This window comes from Homo sapiens, chromosome 2, assembly GCF_000001405.40.
Source record: "Homo sapiens chromosome 2, GRCh38.p14 Primary Assembly".
In the NCBI taxonomy this organism is placed as follows: domain Eukaryota; kingdom Metazoa; phylum Chordata; class Mammalia; order Primates; family Hominidae; genus Homo; species Homo sapiens.
The window spans coordinates 70235382-70251902 of NC_000002.12; the positions used below are offsets into that span (position 1 = coordinate 70235382).

At 42.1% G+C, this 16521-nt stretch overlaps 1 protein-coding gene and 1 non-coding gene across 41 annotated transcripts in view, besides 2 other annotated features; both read right to left on the minus strand.

Moving 5' to 3' along the window:
• The window catches only part of TIA1 (TIA1 cytotoxic granule associated RNA binding protein), a 39350-nt gene extending 25938 nt beyond the window's left edge, over positions 1-13412 (minus strand). For 28 of the 40 annotated variants that reach the window (NR_147220.2, NR_147222.2, NR_147227.2 and 25 more), the window contains exons 1-2: positions 13024-13247; positions 698-794 (exon numbers count right to left, since the gene is read on the minus strand). Coding sequence is in view for 16 of the 40 variants with exons in the window: in NM_001351510.2 (NP_001338439.1) it covers positions 698-794; positions 13024-13049 (123 nt within the window). In the remaining 24 variants the exon portion in view is untranslated. Of the gene's footprint in view, positions 1-691; positions 795-13023; positions 13248-13281 lie in introns of those variants that run through there. The other 12 variants (NR_147218.1, NR_147217.1, NR_147216.1 and 9 more) reach the window with 4 other exon arrangements.
• Positions 12013-12828: an enhancer, noted in NCBI's record as "NANOG-H3K27ac-H3K4me1 hESC enhancer chr2:70474526-70475341 (GRCh37/hg19 assembly coordinates)". NCBI's record gives its function as "activates a minimal SCP1, AML or CMV promoter by ChIP-STARR-seq in primed H9 embryonic stem cells {active_cell/tissue: H9 hESC(primed)}" and the evidence as "EXISTENCE:reporter gene assay evidence [ECO:0000049][PMID:30033119]".
• Positions 12829-13643: an enhancer, noted in NCBI's record as "NANOG-H3K27ac-H3K4me1 hESC enhancer chr2:70475342-70476156 (GRCh37/hg19 assembly coordinates)". NCBI's record gives its function as "activates a minimal SCP1, AML or CMV promoter by ChIP-STARR-seq in primed H9 embryonic stem cells {active_cell/tissue: H9 hESC(primed)}" and the evidence as "EXISTENCE:reporter gene assay evidence [ECO:0000049][PMID:30033119]".
• Positions 13610-13680, minus strand: TRG-CCC2-1 (tRNA-Gly (anticodon CCC) 2-1). The gene has a single exon. It is a non-coding gene; the product is annotated as a tRNA-Gly (tRNA).

Genomic DNA, 16521 nt, shown 5'->3' on the forward strand with positions numbered 1-16521 from the left:
TCCAGCCTGGGCAACAAGAGCAAAACTCCGTCTCAAAAAAAAATTTAAAGTCTTTTCCCCCCAACCAGGAGACAAAGACTCCAGGGAAATGGGGTAAATGTTCCCTAAATGTCTTTTTATACCTATTATGATTCAGGGTTAACACCAATTAGATGAATGAGTGTGTGTGTGTGTGTGTGTGTGTGTGTGTATGTGTGTGTGTTTAATACATTGTCTCATAAATAGGAATTGCCTAAATACAAGAAAAACTTGAATGATGACCTTTAAAAATAAAGTTAAAAATACTTTCACTGTACCAAATGCCTATTATTTTTAAACCTGTTTTCCAATTTAATTGTAAGAGCTGAATTTATTAGCCAACCAGTTGACACCACATATAAACATTTCTGATGCCTCAATGCACCTGAAAGAGCCCATATATATGTTCCCATCTGATCTAGAAATAACTAGTTCTATTGTCATCTTCCATCATGTAATAAAACAAATTAAATTCAGCTGTCAAAACAGGTTCATTACAAATTCACTAAAATCCCTATTAACTTAGAATATGGTAAACTAAGACTATATTTAGACTACAGTAAACTAATAATTTATACTATATTTAGACCATGGTAAACTAAGAATTCCTTCCAAGCAATGGCTTTAAGTAATGTGTAAAAAAAAAAAGAATAAAGTTAACTAAGTAAAATACCCTTACATCCATAATCATTTTGCAGTTTTTACAAGGTCCAATCTGGCTAAAGAGTTGCAGAATTAGAGCTTCTGTCACATCTCTGGAAAGGTTACCGACGTATCTGAAACACAAAGAGAAACAATTTACCTTTTTTTTTTTTTGAGACAGAGTTTCACTCTTGTTGCCCAGGATAGAGTGCAATGGCACGATCTCGGCTCACCACAACCTCCGCCTCCAGGGTTCAAGTGATTCCCCTGCCTCAGCCTCCCCGAGTAGCTGGGATTACAGGCATGCGTGACCACACCCAGCTAATTTTGTATTTTTAGTAGAGACGGGGTTTCTCCATGTTGGTCAGGCTGGTCTCCAACTCCTGACCTCAGGTGACCCGCCTGCTTCAGCCTCCCAAAGTGCTGAAATTACAGGTGTGAGCCACTGCACCCGGTTTTTTTTTTTAAGAGAAATAGTCTGGCTATATTGCTCAGGCTGCTCTCAAACTCCTGGCCTCAAGCAAACCTACTGCCTTGGTCCCCTGAGTAACGGACTAGAGGAACCACCACACCCAGCTCAATTTACCTCAATTTATTTTTTTTTCAGACAAGGTCTTCTGGGTTGCCCAGACTAGAGTGTAGTGGCGCAATCTTGGCTCACTACAATCTCCACCTCCTGGGCACAAGGGATTCTCCCACTTCAGCCTCCCAAGTAGCTGGGACCACAGGCGTGTGCCATCATATCTGGCTAATTTTTTTACAGTTTCTGTAGAGAAGGCGTTTCACCATGTTGCTGAGCTGGTCTCAAACTCCTGGGTTCAAGCGATCTGCCTGCCTTGGCCTCCCAAAGTGTAATCTTAAAGATTACAGGCATGAGGCATTGTGCCCAGCCCTTGATTTACCATTTTTAATTTGCTTATTCTCCATCGGTTTCTAAAGTTGTTCATTAAAAATTAAACTTGAGAAATAGGCAGATCTTTGCCTTAAACTATAATATTTGGGAGTAACTTTTAAAAGTTTGCCAACACTTCAAAATCTCTTTGAAAACAGATGTAAAGTATGTTATTTGAAAATATATTAGCTAGGTGTGGTGGCTCACGCCTGTAATCCCAGCACTTTGGGAAGCCAAGGTGGGAAGATCACCTGAGGCCAGGAGTTGAGACCAGCCTGGTAAACATGGTGAAACCCTGTCTCTACTAAAAACACAAAAATTAGCCAGGCATGGTGGTGCACATCTGTAAACCCAGCTACTTGGGAGGCTGAGGCAGGAGAATCACTTGAACCCAGGAGGCAGAGGCTGGGTTAGCTGAGGTTGCACCACTGCACTCCAGCCTGGGCAACAGAGTGAGACTATGTCTCAAAAAAGAAAATATATTACACCTTGCTAGTGAAGGGGAAGCTAGTATGTGCTTGTCTGTTTTAGTCATCGTTTTGCAAACTGATTGCTTGTTTCTACGTTTCCAGGCTTACCTTAGGAAGACAAGCTTTAAAAACACTCAAATGAATCATCATTAGTTATATAAAATATCTTATACAATAATGGCTGGGCGAGGTGGCTCACACCTGTAATCCCAGCACTTTGGGAGGCTGAGGAGAGAGGATCACTTGAGGCAGGAGTTTGATACCAGCCTGGCCAACACAGTGAAACCCCTTCTCTACTAAAAACACAAAAATTAGCCGGGCGTGGTGGCGCCTGCCTGTAATCCCAGCTACTGGGGGACGGCTGAGGCATGAGAATTGCTTGAACCCAGGAGGCAGAGGTTGCAACGAGCCCCGATCACGCCACTGCACTCCAGCCTGGGTGACGGAGCAAGACTGTCTTTAAAAAGAAAAAAAAAGGCTGGGTGCGGTGGCTCATGCCTGTAATCCCAGCACTTTGGGAGGCCGAGGTGGGCGGATCACGAGGTCAGGAGATCAAGACCATCCTGGCTAACACGATGAAACCTCGTCTCTAATAAAAATATAAAAAATTAGCTGGGCGTGGTGGTGGGCGCCTGTAGTCCCGGCTACTCGGGAGGCTGAGGCAGGAGAACGGCGTGAACCTGGGAGACGGAACTTGCAGTGAGCCGAGATGGTGCCACTGCACTCCAGCTTGGGCAACAGAGCGAGACTCCATCTCAATTAAAAAAAAAAATGTATACCATCAAACCTAAAAGGCATTGCAATTATTTCTACTTCTATGGTATTACTACTACTAAGAACATTGACGTTCCCCCAAGTTTTTTTTTTTTTTTTTTTTTTTTTTTGTGGACAAAGTCTCTCTCTGTCGCCCAGGCTGGAGTGCAGTGGTGCGATCTCGGCTCATTGCAACCTCCACCTCCCAGGTTCAAGTGATTCTCCTGCCTCAGCCACCCACGTAGCTGGGGCTACAGGCGCCCGCCACCACGCCCAGCTAATTTTTTTATATTTTTGGTAGAGACGGGGTTTCACCATATTGGCCAGGCTGGTACCCCCAATTTTTAAATTAACATTATTTCCCTTATTTGTTCAATTTAGGTAGACTTTGGTTATGCAATGAACACATTTTTGAAAAGTTATAGGTAAATTATCAGTTGTTTTGAATGCTTACAGTGGGATGAGAAACCTTCCATTTAACATTACTGATCAGTAGAAGAGGGGTGAAAGGGAGTAGAAACATCACAGATTATGAGTTGGTTATCAATATAAAAATATAAATCGTGCATTACAAGACCATAAGACTGTGATGATCTTCATTTAAAGGGTTTAGATTAGGGGCAGTGGCTCACATCTGTAATCCCAGCACTTTTGGAGGCCAAGGTGGAAAGATCACTTTAGCCAAGGAGTTCAAGATCAGCCCAGTCAATACAGCGAGACCCCCGTCTCTACAAAAAATAAAAATAAAGATAAAAAATTAGCGGACATGGTGGCACTATGTCCCATGGCATGGTCCCAGCTACTTCGGACGCTGAGGTGGGAAGATCACTTGAACCCAGGAGTTAAGAGGCTGCAGTGAGCTATGATTATGCCACTGCACTCCATCCCAGGTGACAGAGCAAAACTCTATCTCTAAAAAGAAAATAAAGGTTTTACTATTTATTCATTTATTTAGAGACGGAGTCTTGCTCTGTCGCCCAGGCTGGAGTGCAGTGGCGTGATCTCGGCTCACTGCAAGCTCCGCCTCCTGAGTTCACGCCATTCTCCTGCCTCAGCCTCCCGAGTAGCTGGGACTACAGGCACCCGCCACCACGCCCGGCTAGTTTTTTGTATTTTTAGTAGAGATGGGGTTTCACCATGTTAGCCAGGATGGTCTCGATCTCCTGACCTCGTGATCTGCTTGCCTCGGCCTCCCAAAGTGTTTGGATTACAGGCGTGAGCCACTGCGCCCGGCCAATAAAGGGTTTATAAATAAGTTTTTAAATGAGATTTTGAGATGAGATTACCTCTAGTCATTTTACAGAGTTAGAGGTTTATCAGTTCTGGAATCAGGGAATGCAGTCTCCCCAGAATGGTAGTTTCTCATTTGTCTCTCAGGTACCCTTCAGAAAATTTGATACAAGGTATGGACTTTCTCCCCAGAAAAGTAAATATTCATACATGCTCACAAAGTGTGGAATCAATTTCTTCTTTCCATCTACCATTCAACAAACACATATTGAGTGCTTAACACGAAGCCTTTGGAAAAGGTTAAGATGGCAAAGGAAGAAATGCTGAGTCTTAATAACAAATGACATTTAACGATCAGGTAAAATAATGGTACTCAAAAGAGAAAGTAACAGCAACATTTACCCAACAGCAATTTACCAGTATTGGGAGTTATTACTACACCAAGTCTTTATTCTGAAAAAGAGACAGAATTAAGCATTTATCCTATTAAGTAGGAACTCCCACTAAATAGTGTAATCTAATAGCTCTAGTTTAGAAAAGTTCTCCTTTACAGGAGAATGCTAGTTAATAAATGTAGAAAGATAGTATTAAATTAACAATGTGTAAACCCTAATGAAATAACTGTTTCAGGCAAGGATCTTTAATTAATGCTTAAACTACTACATGAACAGTTGGTGTGGAAATAGTCACAAGGTGTCAAAGTTATCACATAGATTACTTAATAAATTGCAAAGGGAAAACCTTACCTTAAAAATGAGAGCTTTGGCTGTTACCACTATGACCCAGTGATAAAATTTTCAATTATTTTATAGATGGGCAACGACCAATGAGATACTGCATATATATAATATGAATTACACAGTATCACCTATGAAATATTTACATAAAAAAGTCTAACCTAAATCTAACCAAGCTGAAAATTAGATTTAAGTTTATAGGATATCAGGCAAATAAAACAATTCCATGAATCCAGATGTGGGACACTTTATAAGACAACTCAGTCTCTTCAAAAAATTATTGTCCTAAAACAAAAACAACAGATGACTGTTCTTGAATAAAAGGGAGTGGTGGCACAAGCCCGCAGCCCCAGCTACTTGAGAGGCTGAGGTGGGTGGATCCCTTGAACCCAGGAGTTTGAGTCCAGCCTGGGAACATAGCAAGACCTCATTTCTAAGATATAAATAAATAAAAGAAACAGAAAGCTGGGCACAGTGGCTCAAGCCTGAAATCCTAGCACTTTGGGAGGCCGAGGTAGGCAGTTCACTTGAGACCAGGAGTTAGAGACCAGCCTGGCCAACATGGTGAAACCTCATCTCTACTACAATAAATACAAAAATCAGCCAGGTGTGGTGGCGCATGCCTGTAATCCCAGCTACCTGGGAAGGGGAGGCACAAGAATCACTTGAACTTGGGAGGTGGACATTGCAGTGAGCTCATATTACACCACAGTACTCCAGCCAGGGTGACAGAGCAAGACACTGCCCTCCCTGCCCCCCCACCAAAAAAAAAGGACATAAAAAACACTGACAACCAAATACAATCAATAATGTTTAAATGGATCCCGGATGAGGGGAAAATAGTTTTTTCTTACAGAATTAATAAATGTAGAAAGAATGAGAGAAATAGAAAATCACCATTAAAACACCACAGTAATAATTTCTAAAGGAAGATCCACCCATGGAAGCTCACATTAGTTGATGAAACCTTAAAAGGGGAAACAGGGTATCTGAATAGCCTCAAAGTACCTCCACTAAAATATTTATTAAAAATTGGTTTTGGGACAGGTGCGGTGGCTCACGCCTGTAATCCTAGCACTTTGGGAGACCGAGGCGGATCACAGGTCAGGAGATCAAGACCATCCTGGCCAACATAGTGAAACCCCGTCTCTACTAAAAAATACAAAAAATTAGCTGGGCTTGGTGGCGTGTGCCTGTAGTTTCAGCTACTAGGGAGGCCGAGGCAGGAGAATCGCTTGAACCCAGGAGGCAGAGGTTGCAGTGAGCCGAGATCATGCCACTGTACTCCAGCCTGGCAACAGAGCGAGACTCTGTCTTAAAAAAAGAAAAAAAAAAGTTTTGACCAATGAACTAGTGGTTTTACATGACTATGAATTCTTTGGATATACCTCCCTCCAGGAAGTGTAACTTAATCTTCCTCTTCCTGAGTGTGAGCTAGCCTCGGTGACTTACTTCTAACCAACAGAGTAAGTTAAGAAAAAAGAAGTCACGGTGATTTTGGAGAACAGGAGAAACAGTACCCTTCCAAAGTGTCGGTAGGGTGTGGTGGCTCACACCTGTAAACCCAGTGCTTTGGGAGGCCGAGGTGAGAGATTCACTTGAGGCCAGTAGTTTGAGACCAGCTAGGGCAACATAGTGATATGCACCGTCTCTACAAAAAATAAGAAAAAATTAGCTGGGTGTGGTGGTGTGCACCTGTAGTTCCAGCTACTTGGGAAGCTGAAGTGAACAATGATTGTGCCACTGAACTCCAGTCTGGGCACCAGAGTGAGACCTTACCTCTAAAAAAAAAAAAAAGTGTTAAGGTCAGAAAGACCTCTCACAGAATGAAGGAGAATAAAGAGACGATGACGAAATGCAATGTGGTATTTTCCTGAATTGGATCCTAGAATATAAAAAGGATATCAGTGGAAAAATTGGAATAAAGCCTATAGTGTTAATTTCTTAATTTTGATAATTATACCACGGTTATATAAGATGGTAACATTAAGGGATGCTAGATGAAGGTTATCATGCCATTCTTCCGCAAAACCCTCCCCCGCAAAAAACAAAACTCTGTACTATCTCTGCATCTCTTGTGTGTCTACTCTCACCTGACTCTTGTGCCTATAAGAAATTTTCAGGATTAGCTGGGAGCGGTGGCTCACGCCTGTAATCCCAGCACTTTGGGAGGCTGAGGTGGGGGATCACTTGAGCTCAGGAGTTCGAGATCAGCCTGGCCAATATGTTGAAACTTGCCTCTACTAAAAACACAAAAAATTAGCCAAGTGTGATGGTGGGCGAGAGAATCACCTGAACCCGGGAAGTGGAGGTTGCAGTGAGCCGAGATCTCACCACGGCAGTCCAGCCTGAGTGACAGAGACTCAGTCTCAAAAAAAAAAAAAAAAAAAAAAAAAAAGGCAGAATTTGATAAGGTCTCTGAAAATTTGAGTAAAAACGATGAATAGTTTTTTACCTAATAATAAATTCCATAAGAGGTTTTCATTTTTATTCTTAGTTGGTATCTACCATCTAGAACAGGGGTCCCCAACTCCCCCCTAGGCCATGGACCATTATGCGTCCATGGCCTGTTAGGAACTGGGCCACACAGCAGGAGGTGAGCAGCAGGGGAGGGAGCATTACTGCTTGAGCTCTGCCTCCTGTAAGATCAGCAGCATTTGTGAACTGGGCATGCAAGGGATCTAGGTTGTGTGTTCCTTATGAGAATTTATCTAATGCCTGATGCTCTGAGGTGGAACAGTTTCATCCTGAAACCATCCCGCCCATGGAAAAATTGTCTTCCACAAAACTGGTCTCGGTGCCAAAAAGGCTGGGGACTGCTAGTCTAGAACACTGCCTGGAACATTGCAATATCATTGCAGTGATATTTATTGCTCTATAAATATCTGTTAAAGAGTTAAATGTACTGTCTCAGAATGACTTCTGAACATTTGCAATTTGCTAGAAAATTCTCTCATTTTGCTTAAGTTACCCTAGAGGGAAAAGATTAGTTATGTCTTTTGCTAATGAAGAAACTGTGTAAACACCAGGCACGGTGGCTCACACCTATAATCCCACTTTGGGAGGCTAAGGTGGGAAGATCGCTTGAGCCCAGGAGTTGGAGACCAGCCTGGGCAACACAGTGAGATCGCTTCTCTACAAATATTTTTAAAAATTAGCCAGACATGGTGGCACATGCCTATAGTCCCAGCTATTCAGGAGGCTGAGGTGGGAAGATCCCTTGAGCCTGAGAGGTCGAGGCTACAGTGAGCTGTGATCACACCACTGCGCCAGAGCCTGGACAACAGGATGAGACCCTATCTCAATTAAAATAAATAAATAAATAAATTGTGTAGAATAGTAAGTGCTTGTGTATATACTATACATCAGCATCCTAACCTTATTATTATTTAACAAATGTATACCCATCACAAAGAATAATCTGTTACAAGAGATGGCTGAAACTGCCTTACTAGTTGGGACCTCCTTCACTAGGTAAACCAGCTTGAACAAATGTATTCAATACTATGCCTGTAGACATCTTAAGGGATATCGATCCTCAAGACTTTTCATTTTTACTTATATTTTGCAACAAACTATAACATTTTAGATAACTGATATTACACATTTTAAAATAAATCCATTTATTGTTGACATCATTCTCACATGCCACATCTAAGCCACTGGTAATTCCTGTTGCTCTATTTTCAAAACATATCCATAATTCAACTACTTCCCATCACTTTCACCAGCACTAACTACAATTACAGGCACTGCTTTCTCTGATACCTGGATTGGCTTCCTGACTAGGCTACTTGCTTTTGCCAGTTTTAAGGTTAAGATAGGCTATACCACTACTCTGCGTGAAACCCACTTACAGCTTCCATTCCTACTCAGATAAGATAGCCCTCATAAGGATCCGTATGATCTGGCATTTTCTATCTCCCCTAACATTCCTATTTATCATTCTGACCTCATTTCCTACTCCTCTACTACATTTACTCTCTTCAGGCTAACCAACCAGCATGACCTGCCCCCAAGGGCCCCTTGCACTAGCTCTTTCTAGGGTGCTCCTCCTTCAGATAGAAGCATGGCTCTCCCTCATCTCCTTCACTTTTTTCCTCAAATGTCACTTATCAAAGGATGACCTTCCTTTATTATTCTCTATAAATATCCACCCCTTCCTCCTTACCATGCATACCCTGCATTATGTTTCTCCATAGCACTTATTACCATCTAACATAATTACTTATGTAAATTCGTAAAAGGCCTATTATATGTACTACCATATCCCCAGTTCCCAGAAGACGGACAGCCATGTAGTATGCTCTCAATATTACTGAGTGAATGTAATGTTTCTAGCATATTCTTAATTACTAGCAGTTATTTGGAAACATAAGTATTATCTAATAAATATCTCATTTTGGCCAACCTTGCCTTCAATCTAATCTTTAAAATAGGTCTGATTGTCGCCTGTAATCCCAGCACTTTGGGAGGCTGAGGCAGGCGGATCGCGAGGTCAGGAGATCGAGACCATCCTGGCTAACACGGTGAAACTGTGTCTCTACTACAAATACAAAAAATTAGCCAGGCGTGGTGGCGGGTGCCTGCAGTCCCAGCTACTCCGGAGGCTGAGGCAGGAGAATGGCGTGAACCTGGAAGGCAGAGCTTGCAGTGAGCCAAGATTGGGCCACTGCATTCCAGCCTGGGTGACAGAGCGAGACTCTGTCTCAAAAAAAAAAAAAAAAAAAAAAAGATAGGTCTGATTCTCAATACAAGAGATTTTATTTCATACAAATTACAAGGCCAATACTATTTGGAGAGTGGAGTAGACAACAAGAATGAAAGATGAGCATGGAGCAGAAGAAAGGCAAGGCCCTCATTAGTATATAGCAATTAATTGGGCTCCGTCTTGCTCTGTCATCCAGGCTGGAGTGCAGTGGCGTGATCTCGGCTCACTGCAACCTCCACCTCCCGGGCGATTCTCCTTCCTGAGCCTCCGGAGTCCCGAGTAGCTGAGGCTACTGGCATGTGTCACCACACCTAGCTAATTTTTGTATTTTTAGTAGAGATGGGGTTTCACCATGTTGCCCAGGTTGGTCTCAAACTTCTGACCTCAGGTGATCCACTCACCTCGGCTTCCCAAAGTGCTGGGATTACAGGTGTGAGCCACCATGCCTGGCCAGCTGCAGGCTTTTAAAGATGGTCTATAATTTACAGATCTGCATCTTAGCAAATGGGAAAGCCGCACAATAACAGTATAGTTATCTCAAAAGAGAACACTCATGCATTTGAGAGTAAACCACACAAAGGATATTAAGGTGTCTGGATTTGAGGGAATTAACTTTCATCAACTAACACCAGCAATGTTTTTCTAGTCTAGTGTGTAGCTTTTAGTTCACAAGTTGAATATTTTTAAAGTAACCAAGGCCAATTCAGACTCACTATACACGTATTTTTATTTTTTTACTGTGGAAAATTTCAAATTTATATATGGAGAAGAGTAGTATACATCACCCATATGCTCACTACAAATGTTTGAACTTATTAACTGTACCTTGAATACTCCTCAAAATAATCTTGCAGTATAAACTTTCGGGAAGTTTGTCTCAGAATATGATTCCAAAGTATTGGTGACAAGAAATCAAATACTGGTATTCTCTAACTTAACATGGAGATGCCGAACACTCAGATGTAGCAAATGAAGGAATTTCCAGTGAGCCATTTAGGTATGTGGGTGATAAAAATTCAGACTCTATTTTATCCTCAAGAAAGAGTAAAATCTTAATTCACTGCTTGAAATTCTACCAGATTTTTTTTTTTTTTTTTTTTTTTTTTGAGATGGAGCCTCCCTCCTGTTGCACAGGCTGGAGTGCAATGGCGCAACCTCGGCTCACTGCAACCTCCACCTCCCGGGTTCAAGCGATTCTCCTTCCTCAGCCTCCCGAGTAGCTGGGATTACAGGCATGCGCCACCATGCTCAGTTAATTTTTGTATTTGTAGTAGAGACAGGGTTTCGCCATGTTGGCCAGGCTGGTCTTGAACTCCTGCCCTCAAGTGATCCACCCTCCTCAGCCCCCCAAAGTGTTAGGATTATAGGCGTGAGCCACTGTGCCCAGCCAATTATACCAGTTTCTTAAACAAATGTATTGATTACTTACCATGGACCACACTAAGAACATATATTGAGAGGCTGTGTTTTTAATGTGCTAAGAACTCTGCTAAGAACATATATTAAAAGCCTCTGACTTCCAGGGTCATTAAAGCAAAAATCTTACATTAAAATTAAAAACACTATTAGGAAAACTTAGGGATTAGTACCCTCATGTTTGGTCAAGGTTTGCCTGACTAGAAAAATGGGAGTTTGGGTTGAGGGAGGTAGAAACAAGAGAAGACTTTTACAGTATGACTACTTTGAGGAAGAGTTTCTTGGATGGGGTGTATTAGTGAGGGATACAAGGCAAAATAAGTAATAAATGTAATAGTTAAAAGTTGAGGACAGGCCAGGCGCAGTGGCTCACACCTGTAATCCCAGCACTCTGGGAGGCCGAGGTGTGCGGATCACCTGAGGTCAGGAGTTCGAGACCAGCTTGGCCGACATGGTGAAACCCCATCTCTACTAAAAATACAAAAATTAGCCGGGCATGGTGGTGCCCGCATGTAGTGCCAGCTACTTGGGAGGGTGAGGCAGGAGAATCATTTAAACCCAGGAGGTGGAGGTTGCAGTGAGCCGAAATCGCATCACTGCACTCTAGCCTTGCAGCCTGGGTGACAAAGTGAGACTCCATCTCAAAAAATTAAAAAGTAAAAACAAAATTAAAAAGTTAAAAAGTTAAGTGGTCAGATACTTCTGCAGTTTCTAAAATTAAACATTTTCAAACTAATACTGAGAATATTAAGTTTACATTATAAAACACGAGCAGTGCCTTAACCCAAAATGCTGATGACTGTCATAGCTAAGAGGCAAGAGGGAAGAGATTCCACCAACACCGTGAGGCTAGTAGTTTTTTAGGGAGTATTCATCTACAGATACAATCTTTCCTAAAACAAAGGTCATGCACTAATTGCTACGTCCTACTGAAAAGATACTTTCTGAGCCTCAGGAATAGAGAAAAGAAATTTCAAGGTTACTAACAGATTAACTGACAATCTATTAAGAAAACAAGTGTAACCACATTTCCAATATAGACAAGAAATAGCAACTTAAAAGTGGAAAAATTTTGGAGGTAAAAAAACAATTACATCGTACTTCAGAGCAACTTTATTAGAGAGCTGCAAAGAGAAACCTAAAATTGCATTTTTAATGCATGGAGCTCTCAAACTGCCAGTATTCCAAGAATATAAACAAAAAGCTATGTCATCCAAGAAAAACAAAAAGCTATGTCAAGAACTCATTGAGCTTTTCTTCTTCCGAGAAATGCCAACAAAGGCAGGATCAACTCATCCGATAATACCTCGAAAAACAAAGAACGCAGTTGGGGAAGCCACACGACAAAGAAAATATCCACGCTCCGGTAATTTAACGCTATCTCTAAAAATTCTCTGTAAATATGTTAGGGCATTTACAGCCCGCTCGTTCAACACCATGTCAATCACAACAGTAGTAAACGACTATAAAAATAATATTAAATCCATTTCCCCTCAATTGATATATTCCTTCTGGGTGAGATTTCCAAATCCTTGGGGTGTCTGGTTAGGCTTTTTGGTCGGTGGGTGCTACAGAAGGAAAGCCAGAGGTTAAAGAAAAATGCTTGGCTTTTTTCCAATTGGCAACTGCAAGAATAAAGTTTACTGCACTGAAAATGAGTACAAGCACCCTCGAGGAGGAAAAAAAATCTTATCACCGAGAAGAAAATGAAAGGAAGAATTTCAGTAGGAAATCAAAAGTAAAATTAAAGGGAGACGGCTGTAAAGATAAGAAGAGGTTAATCAAAAAGGGGGAGAAGCGGGAAAAGGAAAGAAAGCATAGGACAAAAGGAAGGTTCGACGAGTTCTAAAAAGAGGTCTGAATTAAAGTCTTTTCTCCAGGTCTAAGACCACAGAGGGCCCGTGGCGAGAGCAAAGGTCATGCAATGGTGTTGCTAAAGTGAAGGGATTAATTGAGAGGGTTGAGCCCCGTCTCCCTTCACCTCGTCCTCACAGATTGGGTCTTGGTTGTAAGCATCCAGGTGCATGCTAAGGAAACAAAAACCACGATATCGCGGTGTCCACGGAGAACAATAGGCTGGGAGCGGCGCAGGGCCGAGGCCTTCCCTCCGGGACGACCACCATCCCGCCTCCCTCATCGCTGCCCCAGACTCACAGAGTCTTGGGCATCTCGTCCTCCATGGCTGCTGCTGTCGCGGCGGCGCCTCCAGGTCCAGCTCCCTGCCCTTCACTACCTCCCAAATCGTTTAAGCGGTTATGGCTACAGGATAGTGGGGTTTCTCGGCTGACCAGAGGTTACTCCGCCTCCTCCTCCGGCGGCAATTACACTAAACCGCCCGGCCCAGCGGGAACAATGAAACCCCAATACAAGATGGCGGCGAGCCGGGAGCCTAGGAGCAGCCAGCAAAGTTACCCGGGCCGCGCAGGCGCAGAATAATCTTGCACTCTCAACCTCCGGGCCGCCCGGCTACACCTTAATCCATAGGTTCACTTGTTGCGCAGCCGCTCTTCCACCCGACGCGAGGGACGCCTCAGACTGCGCAGGCGCAAGTATTAACTACTTCACGATTTGCGTGAACTTTTTTGTCTTCTGGCTGCGGATTCGAGTGTTTCGACCGCGAATTATGAGGGAGTGGAAACCTTCAGGGACAGTAAAAAGCCTAAATCTTTCCTCTTTTGGAAAGATATATAAAGACTCTTCAAGCTATCTGGTTTTTAGCGAGCGAGAAGCAAAACGCCTATGCGCCGCCCGGGAATCGAACCCGGGTCGCAAGAATGGGAATCTTGCATGATACCACTACACCAGCGGCGCTGTTGACATGCCCAGCCGCCACAGTATTTTAGGAGGAAATAGAAGCAGACGTTCTCTCATGTGAAAAGAATTGTCATGTATTATTTATTCATTTAAAAGTAAAAGTTTATTGACAGTCTGTAATCTTCTGTTTTCCAATAACATAAATAATTTATCTTTTCTCATCCCAAACATAGGAATGGATGTTTCAACTTTCTCTGTACAGAAAAAAAATTTCAATTTAAAATGTTTACTTAAGAAATAAGAAAAAAGAAAAAAAGTTTTACTTAAAAAAGTAAGGATTTTATTAAGAATTTGCGTCGTTGGTGCTAGCCAGATTTTTCAGCGCGGGGAGGATATTTCCAGATGCCAGATTTTTATTTATATTTGCATTTCTTCCGTGTATTGATTGCACATTGAAAAGCATTTAAGAAATAGCTGTTTAGGCCGGGGGCAGTGGCTCACGCCTGTTATTCCAGCACTTTGGATGGCTGAGGCGGGCGGATCACCTGAGATCAGGAGTTCGAGACCAGCCTGACCAACATGGCGAAACCCTGTCTCTACTAAAAATACAAAAATTAGCTGGATGTGGTGGTGGGGGCCCGTAATCCCAACTACTCAGGAGGCTGAGGCAGGAGAATCCTTGAATCTGGGAGGTGGAGATTGCAGTGAGCCGAGATCTTGCCATTGCACTCCAGCCTGGGCAACAGAACGAGGATCCGTCTCAAAAAACAAACAAAGAAACAAACAAAAAACCCCAGCTATTTAATGCAAATTGGTCACAAGAATCTTAAAAGTAAACAAGTCAAAAGATACATAAACTTCAGTCCAACTTTAGGAGGCAGAGAAATTAGAGCTCTGAAATGTGATTCAGTATACTCTGTATGCATTTCACATTGCTTATTATATATATATGTCACTAAAGTAATCCTATGTCTAGGAATCTATCCTACAGAAATAAAACAATTAATTTATAAAGATTTATGTGCCAAGATACAACTGCAGCATTGTTTACAGTAGAAAAAAATGGAGTAACCTGAATATCCATCAATGCCACTTATGGTAATTTATTCAATTTACACCAAATACATGTGGAACTTTTTCTTTTTCTTTCTTTCTTTTTTTTTTTTGAGACAGTCTCGCTCTATCTCCCAGGCTGGAGTGCAGTGACACAATCTTGGCTCACTGCAACCTCTGCCTCCCAGGTTCAAGCGATTCTCCTGCCTCAGCCTCCCTAGTAGCTGGGATTACAGACGTGCGCCACCACCTAAATTAGCCTAACTAATTTTTGTATTTTAGTAGAGACAGGGTTTTGCCATGTTGGCCAGGCTGGTCTTGAACTCCTGACCTCAGGTGATCTGCCTGCCTTAGCCTCCCAAAGTGCTGAGATAACAGACGTGAGCCGCTGCCCCCAGATGGAACATTCATTTTATGGACTATTTTGCAGTTATTGAAAAGCTATTAATCAGATCTGTAGTGTTGAACTGGAAAATATCTATGATGTAAGTTTATTTAAGTTGTAGAAATATTTTTTAAACATAGGAGAATTTACACATCGAAAAACGTGATGTCGGCTGAGCGGGGCGGCTCACGCCTGTAATCCCAGTCTTTGGGAGACCGAGGCAGGCAGATCACTAGAGCTCAGGAGTTCAAGACCAGCGTGGCCAACATGGAGAAACCCCGTCTCTACTTTAAAATACAAAAATTAGCCAGATGTGGCGGCACATGTCTGTAATCCCGGCTACTCGGGAGGCTGAGGTAGGAGGAGAATCACTTGAACCCGGGAGTCGGAGGTTGCAGTGAGCCCCTGGGCCACAGAGCAAGACTCCTCAAAAACAAAACAAAACACCAAAAAAACAAAAACGTGATGTCCTCTTTAAAGTAGTTTCTTCAGACTGTATACATTCTGGATTTTTCATTTTTGGAATTGTCTTTAGAGTCTCTGACACATTCTTCAGATTATTTTCAAAGATATCAAGTACTAGTCTTTTGATGGTGAATAAAACAAATGTTAATGGGGATGGTGTTTTAAAAACACCTTTTTGGGACATCCATATAAAGTGTTTTTCAGTTTAATGGTTTTTAGTTTATTCACAGAGGTGTGTGTGCAACAATCACCACAATCAATTTTATAACATTTTCTTCACCTCAAAAAGGAAACCCGTAGCAATTAGCAGACACTCCCTGTCCCTCATCCCATTCCATGTCCCAGCCACTAGTCTTTCTGCCCCTATAGATTTGCCTATTCTAGACATTTCATATAAATGGAAGCATGTAATATATGGTTTCTTGTAACTGACTTATTTCACTTAACATTATGCTTTTCAGGGTCATCTATGTTGTAACGTGTATCGGTACTTCATTCCTTTTTATTCCCAAATAAAACTCCATTATATGGATATTGCACAAGTACTTTTTTTAAAGTAGTTTTTAAGTTACAAAAGTACAACGTGCTTAGTGTTACAAATGAAATGAAATGGATACATAAGGAAAATATTAAAAATGTATCTTCTTCCTCCTTTTGAGGTAAGTAATATTAATAGATTCATCTGTAATATTCCACATTTTACTCTATACAGATGCACATGTATACACTTGGGATTTTTAGGGTTTTTTTTTTTGTTTTTTGTTTTTTTTTTACAGAGTGTCACCCAGAGTGACAGTGTCTTGGCTCACTGTGAACTCTGTCTCCTGGGCTCAAGCGTTTCTTGTGCCTCAGCCTCCAGAGTAGTTGGGATTACAGGTGTGAGCCACCACACCTGGCTAGTTTTTTTTTTTGAGACAGAGTTTCGCTCTTGTTGCCCAGGCTGGAGTGCAATGGCATGATCTCGGCTCACTGCCACCTCCACCTCCCGGGTTCAA